Raw genomic sequence first — 22,432 nt, 5'->3', positions numbered from 1 at the left:
CTGGTAATCCCAGCTACTTGGAAGACTGAGGCAAGAGAATCACTCGAACCTGGGAGGCAGAGGTTGCAGTGAGCCAAGATCACACCACTGCACTCTAACCTAGGCAACAGAGCAAGACCCCGTCTCAAAAAAATAAACAAATAAATAAAAAGAACAATGAGGAGGATTACATAAATTGTTTGGAAACAATTATCCTTGACAAGAATCAATAAAATGAGGGGCATTAGTTGCAGGATGGACAGGGAGTTCCTGGGTGGATGTCCTCACATAAAGATTTTTTGTGTGAGGTTGAGGTGGCCTTTGTGCGAGGCTACGTTTCTTGTAGTCTTTTGTGATAGTCCTTGTTACCTGGCATAGGTGCATGAGAACCCTCCCTTCATGGCCACCTAACTCCATTTTGCCAGGATCTGACAAAAGTGCCTCCATTTTATGTCTGACAATTTTCAAAATGTTATATATGTTATCAACTAAATTGTGTCTCACCCAATTTCATATGTTGAAGCCCCGACACCCTATATGACTATAATTAGGAGATAAAGCCTGTAGAAGGTGAAAAGGTTAAATGAGTTCATTGGGGGGAGACTCTTTTAAGAAGAAGGATCACCAGAGCTTTTTTCCTCTATCATGTAAGGACACAGTGTGAAAGTCTCTCTGCAAGCCTGGAAGAGACCCCTCACCAGGAATAGGATTGACACCTTGATATCAAACTCCCTGGCCTTCAGAAATTGAGAAATCAATTTCTCTTGTTTAACCCACTCAGTCTGTGGTAGTCTGTTGTGACAGCCCAAACAGTCTAATACGGTATACAAATATACCAGGCTACTGCTCATGCCTGTAATCCCAGTTACTCAGAAGGCTGAGGTGAGACTGTTGCCTGAGGTCAAGAGTTTGAGGCTGCAGTGAGCTGTGTTCACACACTGCACTCTAGCCTGGGTGACAGAGTGAAATCCTGTCTCAAAAAAAAAAAAAAAAAAAGTAAATATTGAAAATAGGTCAGTTCCTAGATACTTATGTACATTTCTTTGTTTGTTTTTAATGTCCTGTTTTTGTTTTTAACTTTGCTTTTCTCTTTCATCGTAGTCTTTCTGTTTACTGCCACAATGTCCCTTAAGCAACCCTGGGTCTATTTTCTTCTCCCAGTCCCATCTCGGGTCTCTAAGACCATCATTTGTCAATCTGACAGCACCTCCTCACAATCCTGTTCTTTGACTTCTTTGCTTTCAGGCTGAAATATAAATTCCTTCTCAAAACAGTGGGTCATGCCAGAGTAGAGAATATAGTGAGCTTACTTCTACAGGCTCTGAGAAATATAAAAACAAATGATACACACATAAAAGGTTTCTGGTCTATGAAGTATTATTTTTTTAATTATTTTTTGTTTGTTTTTGTTTTTCTAATTTGAGAAAAATGGTGCCTTTCACAGCTTGCTGTGTAGTAACTTAGTGTGTAAAATATTATACTTTATTTATTTACTGTGTTGTTGAACATTGGGCATCTTTCCTAATTTTGGCAGTTATGTTGTATGTAAAGGCTTTTGTAACAGTATTTATTTATCTTAAATAAATACTTAGAAGTCTAATTGCCAAACATTTTTTCAAGTGGTTGTACTATTTGGGTGTCTTACATCATTTTCTACATTTTAGAGTCACTCATTCTAGCCTTTATATTTTTAGTTAAATTTGTTTTGCTTAATATTTTCACTTGATATAGAATTCTAGGTTAGCACTTATTTTTCACCTTTCACACTTCAAACCTTTCATTAAGTGAGGAACATTTTAAAAGTCTCACTAATAATTTCTGAGTTACAGGCATGATAGCAAGTAGCATAATCCTCACCATAAATTTCAAAGCCCTAGCAATACAATTAAAAGAGTTGATATACAATGAGGTCCTCAACTGTCTCTGCCCTGTGAATCTCAGTGAAGATTGATAGTATCTTGGAAAACAATGTTTCTGTTAATGCTTAAAATAACAAAAAAAAAACTGACAGAAAAGGAAAGTGCTTAAGACCAGATCATTCACATTTCATGTTTGCACTACATTCTAATCTATATTTCATTAATGTAGCTGGTTCACAGGGAAACAGACAAAAAGTAAAAATTTGTTAGGATGCAATCCTAACTCTATCCAGCTAAACCTCAGTAGATGAAACCTGAGGAAAGCAAAGAAGGACAGAAACTTAGTTGCCAAACTGTAGCTTTCTATCACTCCAGGTACAATTCATAGAGCAGGGGCTGTAAAAATCAACATCCAGTCCATCAGTTTATATTATAATGGAGGAAATAAACCTCTCAAGGGAAATAGGTCAGAAAATCAAGAACTTTCACCTCTGGTGTTTTGAAATGAACTCATAGGCCGAATTAAACTATATTCATTAAATATAAATTAGCATGATATTTCCTCTCATCAAAGTCTACAATAGAATCTACAATGGAATGATAAACAATAATTTAGCTATGTGAAATGAATGAAAAAGAAATCATAAAAATGTTGGGGGAAAAACGAACTTGCATCAGTAGATTTGACAAAGTAAACTAAAACATTTCTCTTAGTATTTACTCCACCTAAAATCATGATTCCATAATGCTATCCAACATTTAATGAATATATAACATTCTGCCCAGACTCATTTTCCATCAGCATTATTTACCTCACAATTAAAAAGATCTAAATCCTTTACTCAATATATTTACATGGCTTTTTGGAGCATGTCAAGTAATTTAATATACATATATCATATGTATATGTGTACATATTATATATAACATGTCAATACATATGATATGTTAAATACATATTATATAATACATGTAAATATATGTAATATATACATATATGATATAGGTTATATGTTACACATAGGTGATGTAATATACATATATATGTAATAATATAATATATAATACATATAACAACATATTTATTGTGTTATGTATAATACATAATTTATGTACATTATGTATACATGTACACATACGTATATATTTTATACATACATATAAAACCACTGTTTTTCAATATATAATGTTTATCCAATTCATGTGAATTCGGGATTCATAATTGTGGCTTTATTTGGACTCACATATAAAATATCTAGGTCTTAGAATCAGTAACTTTATACTTAGCATATTTATATTATTGTAAAAAGACAAAAATGTCTAAATATGCCTACACATATTTTTATTATATACACTATATAACATCAGTTAGCATCTTTCTTATAACATTTATTTTTCTGTAAATGATTTGTATATTCCAGGAGGTTTTATTTTGCAGTCCTTACCTCCAGTATCTACGAATAAGGTACATTTTTATGTCTAATAATTTTTTTTTCTAAAGTTTACTTTGTCCGAAATTAACAGAGGTTGTCCAGCTTTTTTTAGTCAGTGTTTATGTAGTATATACTTCTCCCTCTTTTTATTTTCAACAATCTATTTATATAAAAGTGAGTTTATTGTAGATGGAAAAGAATAAGATATTTTCTTTTTAATCTAATCTGACACTCTTTTAACTGGAGTGTTTAGTTTATTGACATTTTAAGTGATTAGTCATGTTAAGACCCATTTTCCTGGAGGTTTTCATATTTCTTTAGTCATTTTTCCCCCATGATTTTCTAACTTCTGTAAGTTTGATTGAGCTTTATTTTCACACCAACTTCCTATTTCCTCTGTCATCTCCCTTCCCTGCCCCAAACTACAGCTCCTGGTAACTGCCATTATACTCTCTGTTTCTGTGAGTTCAGGTTTTTTAGATTTAGCATACAAGTGCAGAATTTGTCTTTTTAGGCCTGGCTATTTAACTCAATGTTATGCAACTTCAATTAATGTTTTTGCAAATGACAGTTTTTTTTAATGCTGAATATTATTCCACTTAATATGTATATCACATTTCCTTTATCCCTCAGTGGCCACTTATGTTAATTTCATATTTTGGCTATTGTGATTAGTGCTGCAGTAAACTTGGGAGTTCTTTTCAACACATTGATTTCCTTTCCTTTGAATATATATCCAGAAGTGGGACAGCTAAGTCATGTAGTAGTTCTATTTCTAATTTTTTGAGGTGGATATACAGATGCCTGTACTAATTTACATTCCCATCAGCAGTGCACAATGGTTCTTTAGTCTCTACATCCTCACCAACACTCATTGTCTTTTGTTCTTTTGATAATAGTTATTCTAACAAGTGTCAGGTAATACCTTTTCATGCTTTTGATTTGCATTTCCCTGATGGTTAGTGATTTTGAGCATGTTTTCTTAATACCTTTTAGTCATTTGTATGTCTTCTGTGGAAAATATCTATTCAGGTTCTTTACCCATTTTCAATCAGGCTATTTGTCTTCTTGCTATTTAGTTGTGTGAGCTCCTTATATAATTTAGATATAAACCCCATATCAGATGTACAGCTGCAAATATTTTCTCTTATTACATAGGTTGTCTCTTCACTCTGTTGTTTATTTTGCTATACAGAAGCTTGCTAGTTTGTATAATCCCATTTGTATATATTTTTTGCTTTGGAGGTTTATGCTTTTGGAGTCGTAAGCCTTAAAAATTATTGCTCAGACTAATGTCAATAAACTTTTTTTCTTTGTTTTCTTCTAGCAGTTTTACAGTTTCAGGTCTTACATTCAAGTCTTTAATCCACTTTCAGTTGATTTTGTAAATGGTCTGAGATAAGGGTTTGATTTCATTCTTCTGCATGAGGATATCCAGTTTGCAAAAAAAGATTTAATAAAGAGAATGCCTTTTCCTCATGTGTTTTTAGCATTTTATTTAAATATCAGTTGACCATACATATGTGAAATTATTTCTGGGCACTCTATACTGTTTCATTGGTCTGTATTTCTGTTCTTATGCCAAGACTATGCAGTTTTGATTATGATAGCTTTGTAGTATAGTTTGAAAGAAAATAGTGTGATGCCCCAGCTTTGTTTTTGTAGTTGTTGTTCAAAAATATTTTGGGTATTTGGGGTCCTTTGTGGTTTAATATGAATATTAGAACTGCTTTTTGCATTTGTGTCAAAAGTGCCATAGGAATTTTTGGTGAGGGTTACCCTGAATATGTAGTTCCCTTTGGGTAATATAGACATTTTTACAATATTATTTCTTCTGAGCCGTAAGTATAAATTTATTTATTTCTTTGGCAGTTTCTTTAATGAAATGTTTTATGGTTTTTAGCATACAGATCTTTCTCTCATTGGTTAAATTTATCCCTAAGTATTTTATTTTATTGATTCTATTATAAATAAGATTGTATTTTAAATTTCTTAAAAGTTTCTTAGTACATAGAAGAGCTACTTATTTTTGTATGCTTATTTTGCCTAGTGCAACTTCACTAAACTTGTCATTTGCAAAAAAAGATAATTTTACTTATTCCTAGCCTATTTGGAAGTTTTAAATTTGTTTAACTTAATTGCATAGCTAAAACTTTCAGTACTCTGTTGATTACAAGTACTGACAATGGGCACTCTTACCTTTTTTTTTTTAAGACAAATTCTCACTCTGTTACCTGGCTGGAGTGCAGTGGTGGGATCTTAGCTCACTGCAACCTCTGCCTCCTGGGTTTAAGCTATTCTCTTGCCTCAGCCTCCCGAGTAGCTGGGACTACAGGCACATGTCACCCCGCCCAGCTAACTTTTTTATTTTTAGTAGAGATGACATTTCACCATGTTGGCAAGGATGGTCTCGATCTCTTGACCTCGTGATCCACCTGCCTTGGCCTCCCAAAGTGCTGGCATTACAGGCGTGAGCCACTGCATCCAGACGTGCCATTTTTTCTGATCTTAGAGGAAAAGCTTTCAGCTTTTTCACTATTGAGTGCAATGTTACATATGGGCTTGTGATATATAATGTTTGTTATGTTGGTGTACATTTCTTTTATACCTAAATTGTTGAGTTTTTAATGATGAGAGAATGGTGAATTTTGTCTAATACTGTTTTATCATCTATTGAAATGATTATATGATTTTTATTCTGTATTCTGTTATTATGATATATCATATTAATTTATTTATGGCAAATCATCCTTGTACCTCAGGGATAAATCCCCCTTGATTATGTGTATTATTCTTTTAATGTGAAGTTGAATATAATTTGTTACTATTTTGTTAAGGATTTTTGTACCTATGTTCATATTGGCCTGTAACTTATTTTTTTCTTGTAGTGTCCTTGCCTAGCTTTGATATCATGGTAACTCTCATCTTGTAAACTAAGTTTGAATGTGTTTCTTCTTCTTCACTGTTTTGGAAGAATTTCAGAAGGATTGGCATTAACTCTTTCTTAAATGGTTGGGTTGTGGTAATTAACCAATGAAGCCATCAGGTACTGGTCTTTTTAATTAGTGATTTAATTTTCTTTCTCATTATTGGTGATATGGTTTGGCTGTGTCCCCATCCAAATCTCAACTTGAATTTTATCTCCCAGAATTCCCTCGTGTAGTGGGAGGGACCCAGGGGGAGGTAGTTGAATCACGAGGGCCAGTCTTTCCTACGCTATTCTCGTGATAGTGAATAAGTTTCATGAGATCTAATGGGTTTATCAGGGGTTTCCACTTTTGCTTCTTCCTCATTTTTCTCTTGCTGGCACCATTTAAGAAGTGCCTTTTGCCCCGCACCATGATTCTGAGCCCTCTCCAGCTATGTGGAAGTGTAAGTCCAATTAAACCTCTTTTTGTTCCTACTTTCGGGTATGTCTTTATCAGCAGCATGAAAACAGACTAATACAATTGGTCTGTTCAGATTTGTATTTCTTCATGATTTAGTCTTGGTAGATTGTATGTGTTTAACATTTTTTCTATTTTTCCTAGGTTATCCAAATTGTTGGCATATAATTGTTCATAGTATTGCCCATAATCCTTTGTCTTTCTGTGAAATCATTTTTAATGTCTCCCCGTTCATTTATAATTATGTTTATTTGAGTATTGTCTCTTTTTTCTTAGTCAGTCTAGCTAAAGATTTGTCAATTTTATGTTCTAAGAAACCAAATCACACTTTTATTAATATCTTCTATTGTTTGTTTTTCTAGCTTTTTTTCTTCATTCATTTCTGCTCTGATCTTTATTTACTTGCTTCTACTATGGGCTCAGTTTCTTCTTTTTTTCTACTTCCCTGAGGTACAAATTTAATTACCTGTTTTTTTAATTAACGTAGGTATTTATTCATATAAATTCCCCTTAGAGCTGCTTTTGTAGCATTCCATAAGTAATTATTCTCAGAGGCATGAAGTGAGTTAATTTTCTCATATTTTTAAGATTTCCAATTTTCCTCCCATAATAGATTTCTAGTTTCATATCATTACAGTTAAAAAATACACAATATGATTTCAGTCTTCTTAAATTTGTTAAGACTTGTTTCATGGCTTATCATGTGCTCTATCTTGAAGAATCTTCTGTGTGCATTTGAGAATAACATGTACTTTGCTGCTGTTGGATGGAATACTCTGTTGGATGGAATGTTTATTAGGGTTGAGCACAGTGGCTCACACCTGTAATCTCAGCACTTTGGAAGGTAAAGGTGGGAGGATTGCTGGAGGCCAGCAGTTTGAGACCAGCCTGAGCAACATAACCAGATCTTGTTTCTACAAAAAAAAAAAAAAAAAAAAAAAAAAACCGGGAAAAATAGCTGGGCATGGTGGCACATACCTGTAGTTCTAGCTACTTCAGAGGCTGAAGAGGGGGGATTGCTTGAGTGTAGACATTCCAGGCTGCAATGAGCTATGATTGCACCACTGCACGTCAGCCTGGGTGAAACAGCAAGATTCTGTCTCTAAATAAATTTTTAAAATAAAAAAAAATATATATATATTTATATTTATATATACATATTTGTTAGGTCCATTTGATCAGTACCATTGTTCAAGTCCACTGTTTGCTTATTGATTTTTCTGATTAAGCTTTTTAGTAGTAGTTTTATACCCTTATTGATATTAGTCATATCTCTTTTAAAACTCCTTAAGGATTATAAGCTTTACAATACACATTTTTAAATCACCTGACGCTATCTTTAATAGTGTCACTCTGCCTTATATGTAGAAAAACTAACAGAATATTCCCAATTCCTCTCTCTAATTTCTTCTGCAATAACATTATGGTAATACATTTTTTAAGATAAGATAAGGTTGGCCAGGGGTGGTGGCTCATGCCTGTAATCCTAGCACTTGGGGAGGCCGAGGCGGGCAGATCATGAGGTCAGGAGATCTAGACCATCCTGGCTAACACGGTGAAACCCCGGCTCTACTAAAAATACAAAAAAATATTAGCCAGGCGTGGTGGTGGGCGCCTGTAGTCCCAGCTACTTGGGAGGCTGAGGCAGGAGAATGGGGTGAATCTGGGAGGCTGAGCCTGCCGTGAGCAGAGATCGCATCACTGCACTCCAGCCTGGGCGACAGAGCGAGACTCCGTCTCAAAAATAATAATAATAATAATGATAATAATAAATAAAAATAAAAATAAAAAGATAAGGTTATGACACACAAGACATGATTAAATTTTCTTCTTCAAATAATTATCTTTTAAGAGTAATTTAAAATATTTTTAAATTATTTTTATTCCATTTCCAGTGATTTCTATTTATTTGCTTAGATCCAATATTACTTCAGCCTAATGAACCTCTCTTAACACTTTTTGTAGGTCTACTCAAAATGAATTTCCCCATTTTATATGAAGAAATCCTTATTTATATTTCTCTGATGAAGAGTATTTTCCTAGGCATAAAATCCTAATTTGTTTCTTCCTCCCACCCTTGGAACTTTACATATTTATTTGATTGTATTCTTGTTTCCAATATTTGTGATTAGAAATATGCTATATTTCTTATTGTTCTTGTGTAGATCATCTATCTTTTTCTCCAGTTGCCTTGCCTGCAATATCTTCACTTTGTCTTTGGAGTTTGGCGGTTTGAATCTGATACCGTAATGTTGTTTTTTAAAAAAATTCTGAAGTGTATTAATTCTGCTATTTCAATGTGGTTCTTTTATCTGTGGTGTGGCATCTATCATTAATTTTGAAAAAAAAGTTTGGTCATATTTTTTCAGTCATTTATTCTGCCCTGTTTTCTGTTTCTTCTGTTTCTGAGATTCCAGTTACATACATGTTAGATCAGGCAATATTTTACCACAATTCTTTGATATGGTGTTCTCTTTTACTCACCATTTCCTTCATAGCATTTGAGTTTCTGCAACTGCTATTGACATATACTTACATTCACAAATTATTTCATTCACTGTGTTTGGTGTACTTATGAACCTTCCATAGATATTCTTTGTTGTTGTATGTTAACATTTTTAATTTCTCATACTCCCTTTTGAATTGTGTTAACTTTCCATCTTTCTGCTGAATTTATCCACTGGATCTTGCATATTGTTTACATTTTGAATAAGAGCCTTTAATATTAATCACAGTTTTTTTGTTTGTTTGTTTTTTTATTCACGGTTTTGTAGTCCCAACATCACTGTCTCATCTGAGTCTGATTTTGATTATTGCTTTGTCTCTTTAGAGTGTGGTTTTCTCGCCTTTTTGTAGGTCTCAGTGTTGTTTTGTGGAGCAGTAGATACAGCTGTAAATATTTCTTTTTTTTTTTTTTTTTTTTTTTTTTTGAGATGGAGTCTTGCACTGTTGCCCAGGCTGGAGTGCAGTGGTGCCATCTCAGCTCACTGCAAGCTCTGCCTCCTGGGTTCACGTCATTCTCCCACCTCAGCCTCCCTAGTAGCTGGGACTACAGGTGCCCGCCACCATGCCCGGCTAAATTTTTGTATTTTTAGTTGAGACGGGGTTTCACCGTGTTAGCCAGGATGGTCTGGATCTCCTGACCTTGCGATCCACCCACCTTGGCCTCCCAAAGTGCTGGGATTACAGGCGTGAGCCACCACGCTCGGCCAGCTGCAGATATTTCTTATGCTAGTAATTGAGCATACTTTCTTTATTCTATTTCTTTAGTGCATAAGTTTGTGTTAATTAAGTCTGGGATAATTTTAAAGTTTACTGTTGCTATTATTACCCTTGGTAAAGAGGTTCTTATTAACATGTCCTGGTTTGGCTATGGATATTCTTATTTGTGCTGCTCTTAAGAGACAATTTATCTTTTGCATCCTCCAACTGTATTCTTCTGATGTTTTTATTTAGTACTTGGTTGCTGGTGGGGAGAAAGATGAGAGAGTGTTTTCTGATGTTCTTTTTAAGACTTAGTCTCAGGCAGACACGTTGAATCTTGGTCATGGTGTGTCATTCACAGGTTTTTTTTTTTATTCTTGCTCTAGATAGAGGGCTGTGCCTCGCATATATTTCTGCCTAACTCTGTGTGGTAGAGCTTTGGTTTTCCTGTTTTTATCCTCCAGATTAAGTGGATTTTAACAGTGGTCTAAGCTATTTTTTTGTTGTTGTTGTTCTTTTCCTGCAGAATAAGGCTTTCCCTACTCCCTTCCCTCCCCCAGTAGGAGAGACTGGCAGTGGCATCTTTATTTTTCCCCCTAGCCAGAACCTTTTCCCCAGGGAAAGTTTTTCATTATTCTTGGTGACTTGTTCTGTAAACAAATATTGATTTTTCCTGAAAGTGGGTGGTGGCCGTCTCACATCTATGCCCCCTCCTTTACATTTTCATTCTATTCGATACTTACACTTTTTAAAAGCCAAGCTCTGCTTTAATCATCTTACTGACTCATATAATGTTTCACGGCATTTTTCACAGGTAATCAAATGCCCGGGTCCTGTTGTTTCTCCCAATTGTCTGTCTCTGTCTAAATGTTATGTTATTTTCCTCCCTGGGTTCATAGTTTTCTGTTGGACTAAAGAAAAGCCATTAATTTTCTTTGTCCAGATTTCTTCTTGTTGTAAAGGTAGGAGTAATAGATGTTCTACCTGGCGGCATGCTATAGATGAAATGCATACCCGCTCATTATTAACTAAGAGAGAAAAATCCTATTAATTGATGGTTTAAAATTTTTTTTAATGTTAAAAGTAGTCCACTTAAAAGTTTTTTACCATAATTTCTTTCCATAGCATATATGCCAAAACACGCCCCACGTACAAAACAAAACAAACAAAACCTTTACACCTATTATTTTGCTTACTGAATAAGTTATATTCATTTTATGACTTATAACAAGACAAGATTGCATATTTTTAATGCTGCTGCTAAATATGATAATGAAACCTCCAGCCAAGGCTATATCAATAGGAAGCACAAAACAAAGCTAAATTGGAAGGCTTTGAAAAGAGAAGGTGAAATTATTCTCTTTTTTTGCCCACAAAAGGGTCATCTTGAAAATCAAGTCTTAGCATTTTCACTTTATACTAGATTTACAAAATCAATAATATTTGATGTAGGTTTACTGTAAACTCAAAATACAATGAAAATAAAATAGCATTCAAAATCTAATGTGTCTAGGAATTAATCTTCAACACATGTACATAAGACTTCTACAATAAAAATTGAGGGGCTTGACTAGCTTATTTTAATAAGTACTAAAAACCATTTTATTAGTCATCTATTGCTACATAAGGAATTACCCCAAAACTTAGAATCTTGAGAAGAGGTAAAACATATGCATTGATTATATACAATTTTTATGGATCAGAAATAGAAGTATGGCTTATCAGGGTCACATGCTTCAGGATCTTACAAAAGGCTATTCTACAAACTCTCACAAAGCTGATAAAAGACGCAACTGGGTCAGAATCTGCTTCTAAATTAATTCAGTGTTTGTTGATGGGACTCAATTTCCATGAAATTTTGGATTGAGAACCTCAGTTTCTTTCTGGCTATTGGGTGAAGGCCATCCCAGGTATTGACAATACGGGCCTCTTTGACATGACAACTTGCTTCGCCATAGCCAGAAAGAAAGAGTTTGCTAGTAAAATAGAAGTTACAGTATTTTATTACAGAAAAATTCCACTATGCTTGATATAATCTATTTTTAGAAACAAGTGATTGAAGGCAGCTTCACTCTTCGCAAGAGTGAAGGAAGCTGCAGAACACTTTGAAGCTAGCAGAGGTTGGTTCATAAGGTTTAAGGGAAAGAAGCCAGCTCCATAACAACATAAAAGTATAAGCTGAAGAAGCAAGTGCTGATGTAGAAGCTGCAGTAAGTTATCCAGAAGATCTAGCTGAAGATAATTGATTACTGTGGCTATACATAACAATAAATTTTCAATCTAGATGAAGCAGACTTGTATTGGAAGAAGATGCTATCTAGAATTTTTATACCAACAAAGGAGAAGCCAATGCCTGGCTTCAAAGCTGAAAAGGACAGGCTGACTCTCTTGTTAGGGAATAATGTAGCTGATGACTTTTAGTTGAAAACAGTGCTGATTTTGAATTCCAAAAGTTTTAGAGCCCTTAGGAATGATGCTAAATCTACTCTGTGTTCTATCAATGGACATCTATCATCTACAAAGTGTAGATGACAGGCGCATCTGTTCGTAGCGTGGTTTACTAAATATTTGAAGTGCACTGTTGAGACCTGCTTCTCATGAAAAAAAAATTGTTCAAAATATTATTGTTCATTGACAACACACCTAGTCCCTCAAGAATTCTGATAGAGGTGGGCAAGGAGATTAATGTTGTTTTCATGCCTGTTAACAGAACATTCATTCTGTAGCCCATGGATCAAGGAGTAATTTTGTGTTTCAAGTCATTTAAGAAATACATTTTTTAAGGCTACAAAATACATTTTGTAAGGTAACTGCCATCAGGAGTGATTCCTATAATGGCTCTGGTAAAAGTAAATTGAAAACCTTCTAAAAAGGAACCACCACTTTGGAGGCAATTAAGAACATTTCTGATTCATGGGGAGATGTCAAAATATCAGCCTTAATGGGAGTTTGGAAGAAATTGATTCTAATTCTCATAGATATCTTTGAAGGGTTAAAGACTTCAGTAGAGGAAGTTTTGAACTGCAAATGTGCCGGAAGCAGCAAGATAGCTAAAATTAGAAGTAGACTCTGAAGATGTAACTAAATTGCCGCCATTTCATGATACAACTTGAACTAATGAGGAAAAAAATATGATATCTTGTGATGAATAAAGTAGGGGCAGGGGTTGAGAAGATTTATGCTAATTTTGAAAGAAGTTGTACTATGGGTAAAATCCATTCAAACAGTATCAGATGCTACACAGAAATCTTTCATGAAAGAAAGAATAAATTAAAGTGGCAAACTTCATTGTGGTCTTATTTTAAGAAATTGCCACAGCCACCCCAGCTTTCAGCAAGCACTACCCTGATTAGTCAACAGTTATCAGCATCGGGGCTAAACCTTTCTCCAGCAAAAAGAATACAACTGGCTGAAGGATCAGATGATTGTTCGCATTTTCCAGTAATAAAGTATTTTATATTAATGTATGTACATTTTTACACCTAATTCTGTTGCCCAACTAATAGACTATTAGATAGTCTATAACTTTTATATGTACTGGGAAACCAAAAAATTTGTGTGACTTACTTTACTGTGATAGTTGTTTTATTGTGGTAGCCTGGAATCAAACTTGCAATATATTCAAGATATACCTCTAATTAATTTGAAAAGAAAAAATATAAAATTAATAGAAGCAATGTGAAAAACATATTAAATTTTTATCCAGGGTAAATGTTGACTATTATTCTTACAACTTCAAAAGCCTAAATAATATTGTAAGAAATTAATCTACTTGCAGTGAAAATTGATGTTCTGGCTGGGTGTGGTGGCTCACACCTGTAATCCCAGCACTTTGGGAGGCCGAGGCAGGCAGATCACGAGGTCAGGAGACCCAGACCATCCTGGCTAACACGGTGAAACCCCAGCTCTACTAAAAATACAAAAAACTAGCTGGGCAAGGTGGCGGGCGCCTGTAGTCCCAGCTACTTGGGAAGCTGAGGCAGGAGAATGGCGTGAACCCAGGAGGCAGAGCTTACAGTGAGCCAAAATCGTGCCACTGCACTCCAGCCTGGGCGACAGAGCGAGACACCGTCCCAAAAAAAAAAGAAAAAGAAAAAGAAAAAGAAAAGAAAATTGATGTTCTATCAAGGAAATCATGAAAAAAGTTAATGGAGTTTAAAGAATGGAAAAAGGTGTTTATAAATAAAAAAGATTATTGTAGAAAGAATTAAAAGTAATGCTACAAATATGCAAATATGAAAAAATTGTTTCACTTTTATGGACAGGTAATTAACAGATGAAATATATAGATGAACAAGAAGAATGATAGAAAGTTATCCAATAAATGAAAAATTAAAAAATCAGTGTATATTACTTTACATCTAAAAGATAGGAAAAACATATGAAATAGCCAATATCAACATGTGGTGTAGACCATTCTGGAGCATAATCAGGCATTACTCAGAAAAATAAAGTATATTCTTGGAGTGACAGTTTCCCCTTTGTGTACATATTCCCAATAATTTATTACCTAAATTCCTAAAACTACAAGTACAAGGATGTACTGAAACAAATATATAATTTTATGGAAAGAAAATAAGCCTTTGCCTTTACCTAAAAGCCACTCACACACATTCAAATATAAAAATTAAAAGCATATCATGTCAATAAATAAAATAAATATAATGTTTGAAATGCTAGGTAGGCAAAGATATATTTTAAATAAATAATATAGTAAACCACTTATTTTAAATGATCAGTTAAACTTCATCAAACATAAAGTCCTGTGCTCTTCAGAGGAATATATTATGGAAATCAAAAGGCATCCTATCCTCATGCATTGCTTATGGAAATGTAGACCACATAACCATTCCAAAATACTATATAGGGTGGGGTGCAGTGGCTCTTGCCTGTAATTTCAACACTTTGGGAAGCCCAGGTGGGCAGATCACTTGAGTTCAGGAGTTTGAGACCAGCCTGGCTAACATGGTGAAACTCCATCTCTACTAAAAATACCAAAATTAGCCAGGTATGGTGGCACCTGTAATCCCAGCTACTCGGGAGGCTGAGGCATGAGGCTCGCTTGAACCTGGGAGGTGGAGGTTGCAGTGAGCCGAGATTGTGCCACTCTACTCCAGCCTGGGTGACAGAGCAAGACTGTCTAAAATAAATAATAAATAAATAAATACTGTCATCTACCATTTTTGGAGCAAATATTTAAAATAAGCATATTCTCCTATATTCTGTAAACTAGGAAATGTTATATGTGTATATCACAAAACACAACAATTATTAAATATACACATACAAGCGTATTCACTCAAGTATTTTTTATTACAGTAGAAAATTGACAGCAAATAGTGCTAATTGCTAAATAAGTAAAGTGGAGTATATTGAATCAACATATATCACCAATAACTAGGAGCAGGAGGTGAATGATCAAATAAATTAATCTTAAAAATATAGCTGGCTCAGTGGCTCACGGCTGTAATCCCAGCACTTTGGGAGGCCGAGGCGGGCGGATCACGAGGTCATGAGATCGAGACCATGACCCCGTCTCTACTAAAAATACAAAAAAATTAGCCAGGCATGATGGCGGGCGTCTGTAGTCCCACCTACTCGGGAAGCTGAGGCAGGAGAATGGCCTGAACCCATGAAGTGCAGCTTGCACTGAGCCGAGGTGGCGCCACTGCACTCCAGCCTGCTAGACAGAGCAAGACTCCGTCTTAAAAAAAAAAAAAAAAAAAAAAAAATATATATATATATATATATATATATATATATATATATATATCACAATGAGTGAAAATAGATACATTAGAATTGTTATCTAGTGGTGGGTAGAATAGTGTATGTGATATACAGTATAAAATAAAATAAGAAAAATAATGATTTTTATTTATTTTATGTTTATAGATTTAGGTATACAGGTGTAGTTTTGTTACATGGATACATTGCGTGGTGGTGAAGTCTGGGATTTTAATGTACCCGTCAACCAAATAGTGTACATTGTACCAATAAGTAATTTTTCATCACTCATCCCCCTCCTATCATCACCTTTTCCTATCATCACCTTTTTTGGAGTTCCCAGTGTATATTATTCCACTCTGTATGTCCAGGTGTACCCTTAATTAATTCCCACTTATAGGTGAGAATATGCAATATTTAACATTCAATTTCTGTTATTTTACTTAGGATAATGGTCTCAAGTTATAGCCATGTTTCTGCAAATCACAGAAGTTTAGTTTTTGCTGAGTATATATATATATATATATATATATATATATATATATATATATATATATATATATAAAACACTTTCTTTATCCAGTCATCCACTGATGGACACCACTTAGTTTTTCCATGACTTGGCTATTGTGAATAGTGCTGTGATGAATATATAGGTACAGATGCCTTTTAAAAACTGACTTACTTTCCATTAGGTAGATACTCAGTAGTGAAATTGCTGAGGCAAATAGTGGTTCTATTTTTGGTTCTTTGAGAAATGTCCATACTGCTTTCCATAGAGGCTGTACTACTTTACATTCCCACAAACAAGTATAAACATTACCTTTTCTTTGCATCCTCGCCAACATCTGTTAATTTTTTACTTTTTATTAATGGCCAGTCTGTCTAGTGTAAGATGATATCTTGTGGTTTTAATTTACATTTATCTCATGATTATAGAAAATCAATACAAAGGATCAATGGAATGAAAGTTTGGTTCTTTGAAAAGATAAACAAAATTGATAAACCACTGGTTAGATTAACCAAGAAAAAGAGAGGATCCAAATAAGCAAAATCAGATATGATAAAATGCGACATTACAACCAATACCACAGAAATAAAAAAGAACATTAGATACTACTTTGAGCACCTCTATGCACACAAACTAGAAAATCTAGAGGAAATGGATAAATTCCTGAAAAGAAACCAACCTCCCAAGATTGAATACTGAAGAAACAGAAATCCTAAACAGATAAAAATTAGGCCGGGCGCGGTGGCTCACGCCTGTAATCCCAGCACTTTGGGAGGCCGAGGCGGGTGGATCACGAGGTCAGGAGATCGAGAATATCCCGGCTAAAACGGTGAAACCCCGTCTCTACTAAAAATACAAAAAAAAATTAGCCGGGCGTAGTGGCGGGCGCCTGTAGTCCCAGCTACTTGGGAGGCTGAGGCAGGAGAAAGGCGTGAACCCGGGAGGCGGAGCTTGCAGTGAGCCGAGATCCCGCCACTGCACTCCAGCCTGGGTGACAGAGCGAGACTCCGTCTCAAAAAAAAATATTAGTAGTGAATTTAAATCAGTAATAAAAAATTTATCATAAAAAAGCCCAAAATAGGACAAATTTACAGCTTAATTTTACCATACTTAGAAAAAAGAACTGGTACCAATCCTACTGAAACTGTTCCAAAAAATGAGGAGGAGAGAATCATCTCTAATTTATTCTATGAAGTCAGTATTACCATGATACCAAAGCCAGGCAAGGAAACAACAACAACAACAAAAACCTACAGGCCAATATCTCCAGTGAAGATAGATGCAAAAATCCCCAATAAAATATGAGAAAACCTAGGTTTTCTTCTAGGGTTTTTATGGTTTTAGGTCTAACGTTTAAGTCTTTAATCCATCTTGAATTAATTTTTGTATAAGGTATAAGGAAGGGATCCAGTTTCAGCTTTCTACATATGGGTAGCCAGTTTTCCCAGCACCATTTATTAAATAAGGAATCCTTTCCCCATTGCTTGTTTTTCTCAGGTTTGTCAAAGATCAAACAGTTGTGGATATGCGGCGTTATTTCTGAGGGCTCTGTTCTGTTCCATTGATCTATATCTCTGTTTTGGTACCAGTACCATGCTGTTTTGGTTACTGTAGCCTTGTAGTATAGTTTGAAGTCAGGTAGCGTGATGCCTCCAGCTTTGTTCTTTTGGCTTAGGATTGACTTGGCGATGCAGGCTCTTTTTTGGTTCCATGAGAACTTTAAAGTAGTTTTTTCCAATTCTGTGAAGAAAGTCATTGGTAGCTTGATGGGGATGGCATTGAATCTATAAATTACCATGGGCAGTATGGCCATTTTCACGATATTGATTCTTCCTACCCATGAGCATGGAATGTTTTTCCATTTGTTTGTATCCTCTTTTATTTCATTGAGCAGTGGTTTGTAGTTCTCTTGAAGAGGTCCTTCACGTCCCTTGTAAGTTGGATTCCTAGGTATTTTATTCTCTTTGAAGCAATTGTGAATGGGAGTTCACTCATGATTCGGCTCTCTGTTTGTCTGTTGTTGGTGTATAAGAATGCTTGTGATTTTTGTACATTGATTTTGTATCCTGAGACTTTGCTGAAGTTGCTTATCAGCTTAAGGAGATTTTGGGCTGAGACAATGGGGTTTTCTAGATATACAATCATGTCATCTGCAAACAGGGACAATTTGACTTCCTCTTTTCCTAATTGAATACCTTTTATTTCCTTCTCCTGCCTAATTGCCCTGGCCAGAACTTCCAACACTCTGTTGAATAGGAGTGGTGAGAGAGGGCATCCCTGTCTTGTGCCAGTTTTCAAAGGGAATGCTTCCAGTTTTTGCCCATTCAGTATGATATTGGCTGTGGGTTTGTCATAGATAGCTCTTATTATTTTGAGATACGTCCCATCAATACCTAATTTATTGAGAGTTTTTAGCATGAAGCGTTGTTGAATTTTGTCAAAGGCCTTTTCTGCATCTATTGAGATAATCATGTGGTTTTTGTCTTTGGTTCTGTTTCTATGCTGGATTACATTTATTGATTTGCATATATTGAAGCAGCCTTGCATCCCAGGGATGAAGCCCACTTGATCATGGTGGATAAGCTTTTTGATGTGCTGCTGGATTCAGTTTGCCAGTATTTTATTGAGGATTTTTGCTTCAATGTTCATCAAGGATATTGGTCTAAAATTCTCTTTTTTGGTTGTGTCTCTGCCCGGCTTTGGTATCAGGATGATGCTGGCCTCATAAAATGAGTTAGGGAGGATTCCCTCTTTTTCTATTGATTGGAATAGTTTCAGAAGGAATGGTACCAGTTCCTCCTTGTACCTCTGGTAGAATTCGGTTGTGAATCCATCTGGTCCTGGACTCTTTTTGGTTGGTAAGCTACTGATTATTGCCACAATTTCAGATCCTGTTATTGGTCCATTCAGAGATTCAACTTCTTCTTGGTTTAGTCTTGGGAGAGTGTATGTGTGGAGGAATTTATCCATTTCTTCTAGATTTTCTAGTTTATTTGCGTAGAGGTGTTTGAAACTGAATTTAACATCACAGCAAAAAGATACCACTCCACAGTCAAGTAGGTTTTACTCCAGGGATGCAATGATGATTCAACATAAACAAATCAACAAATGTGTTTCAACACATAAACAGAACAAAAAACAAAAGTTATAATATCATCTCAATAGGTGCAGAAAATGCATTCTAAAATTCTAACATCCATTAATGATTGAAAGCCTTAAGAAACTACGATTCAAAGGAACATACCTCGAAATAATGAAAGTCATATATAGAAAACCCACAACCAACATTATACTCAATGAGGAAAAGTTGAAAGCATTCCCCCTAAGACCTGGTACAAGACAAGGATGCCGATTTTCACCACTCCTACTCAACATAGTACTGTATGTCCTAGCGAGATAAATTAGGAAAGAAAAAGAAATAAAAGGCATCCAAATTGGATAAAAAGAAAGTCAAGTTATCTCTGTTTACTGATGACATGATCTTATGCCTAGAAGACCCTAAAGACTCCTCCAAAGCATTCCAAGATTTGTAAAATGTCTTCAGTAAGGTTTCAGGATAGAAAATCAACGTACAAAAATCAGTAGCATTTCTACACACCAATAAAGTTCAAACCGAGAACCAAATCAAGAATGCAATCCGATTTACAATAGCTACAAAAACTCAACATCTAGGTATACATTTAACCAAGGAGGCAAAAGAGCTCTACACGAAGAATCTAGAAAACACTGATGAAAAAATCATAGATTATAACAAAAAAATGAAAAAAAAAACTCATGTGTATGGATTGGAAGAATCAATATCATTAAAATGACCATACTATGCAAAGTAATCAGAAGATTCAATGCAACTTCTATAAAATTGTCAATGTCATTTTTCACACAATAAGGAAAAACTAATTCTAAAATTCATAATGAGAGGTGAAGCCGGCTGGGCTTCTGGGTCAGGTGGGGACTTGGAGATCTTTTCTGTCTAGCTAAATGTTTGTAAACTCACCAATCAGCACTCTGTAAAAACACACCAATCAGTGCTCTGTGTCTAGCTAAAGGTTTGTAAATGCACCAATCAGCACTCTGCAAAAACGGACCAATCGGCACTCTGTAAAATGGACCAGTCAGCAGGATGTGGGCAGGGCCAAATAAGGGAATAAAAGCTGGCCACCAGAAGCAGCAGGAGCAACCTGTTGGGGTCCCCTTCCATACTGTGGAAGCTTTTATCTTTTGCTCTTTGCAATAAATCTTACCGCTGCTCACTCTTTGGGTTTGCACTACCTTTATGAGCTGTAACACTCACCACGAAGGTCTGCAGCTTCACTCCTGAAGCCAGAGAGACCACAAACCCATGGGGAGGAAGAAACAACTCCTGATGTGCCACCTTTAAGAGCTGTAACACTCACTGCAAAGGTCTGCAGCTTCACCCTCGAAGTCAGCAAGACCAGGAACCCACCAGAAGGAAGAAATTCTGGACACATCTGAACATCAGAAGGAACAAACTCCAGACAAACTATCTTTAAGAACTGTAGCACTCACCGCGAGGGTCTGAGGCTTCATTCTTGAAGTCAGCGAGACCAAGAACCCAAAGGAAGGAACCAATTCTGGACACGATATGAAACCAAGAAGAGTCCAAATAGCCAAAACAATCCAAAGCAAAACACAAAGCTGGAGACATTTCATTACCTTATGTTAAATTCTACTACAAGGGTACAGTAACCAAAATAGCATGGCATGATGGGTAGTCACTTCCTTAATTGAAATGCAGCTTTAGTATACTTTTTACTACATGGAGATGAACTAATACATTTATGTTTTTATCAGAATCTGTATCACCCAGCACTGGCCAATGTACTAGTAGCTTTTCACAGGGACTTTTTTTTTTTTTTACTATTCCTATAAGGTTTTTATCATGAATAAAAAAGCTCACAACTCTTTTCAGCCACTGCAGATTTACATTTATCTTAAAATTCCTGTTCAAGATGCTTTGGAGAACTGTTAAGAACTACAAAATCACCCTAGGCAGAGTTTTGAATGAGTAATTTTATTTCACATTGGCCAAGATCTCCCTTATGTTGGCATTGCAAAGACATTTGTATTTTATGATATTAAAACAGGGATGCTAAAACTAAGAGGAAAAAAAAAAAAAGGAAATGAAGCTTTAGGCTGGAATGGTGGCTCATGCCCATAATCCTTGCACTTTGGGAGGCGAAGGCGGGTGGATCTCCTGAGGTCAGGAGTTCGAAACCAGCCTGGTCAACATGGCAAAACCCTGTCTCTACTAAAAATACAAAAATTGTCTGGGTGTGGTGGCTCATGCCTGTAATCCCAGCACTTTGGGAGGCTGAGGTGGGAGGATCCCCAGAGGTCAGGAGATAGAGACCATCCTGGCTAACACGGTGAAAGCCCTTCTTTACTAAAAATACAAAAAATTAGCCGGGTGTGGCGGCAGGTGCCTGTAGTCCCAGCTACTCGGGAGGCTGAGGCAGGAGAATGACGTGAACCTGGGAGGCGGAGCTTGCAGTGAGCTGAGATCACGCCACTGCACTCCAGCCTGGGTGACAGAGCAAGACTCCATCACAAAAAAATAAATAAAATAAAATAAAAAATACAAAAATTAGCTGGGCGCAGTGGGGGTTGCCTGTAATCCCAGCTACTCAGGAAGCTGAGGCAGGAGAATCACTTGAACCCAGGAGGCATAGGTGGCAGAGCTGAGATTATGCCATTGCACTCCAGCCTGGGTGACAGGGTGAGACTCCGTCTCAAAAAAAAAGAAAAAGAACAAAGAAATCCAGCTTTATTCCTTAAATCCTTTGTACTGTTTTTAACAAACATATTATGTACATATCATTTTTCTATATGTTAAAGGCTCTCCAATTCATTATCTATTTTGTACATTTCATTACATATTATTTTACACATTTACTTTTTAATCATTTAATAGAAGAAATGAGAAAAATATGTATTGATAATGTCATCTATATTCATAATTACCCTTTATTGGTGCTTATGTTAGTTTGTTTGGATTCAGATTATCTTCTCATTTTACTTGCTTTCATCCTGAAGATCTTTTAGTAATTCTTGCAAGACTGGTCTGCTAGAAAAAAATTTTTTTTGTTGTTATTTGTGGAAAAGACTTTTTAAAAATAGATTTCTTGGATCTAAGATTTTTGGTTGACAGTGTGGTTGTTGGTTTTGTTCTGTATTTTTTTCTATTGAGTATTTTGAATGTGTTATTGCACTGCCTGTTGGTCTGCATTGTTTTTGCTCATAAGTTAACTGTTAATCTTATTTTAATCTTATAAGAGAAATTTTTTTTTTTTTGCTTTTCTTTCTGCTGTCAAT

Source organism: Homo sapiens, chromosome 5 (genome assembly GCF_000001405.40).
Source record: "Homo sapiens chromosome 5, GRCh38.p14 Primary Assembly".
Taxonomy (NCBI): domain Eukaryota; kingdom Metazoa; phylum Chordata; class Mammalia; order Primates; family Hominidae; genus Homo; species Homo sapiens.
The sequence above is the reverse complement of the archived record's forward strand: the minus strand, read 5'-3'. Positions refer to the sequence as shown.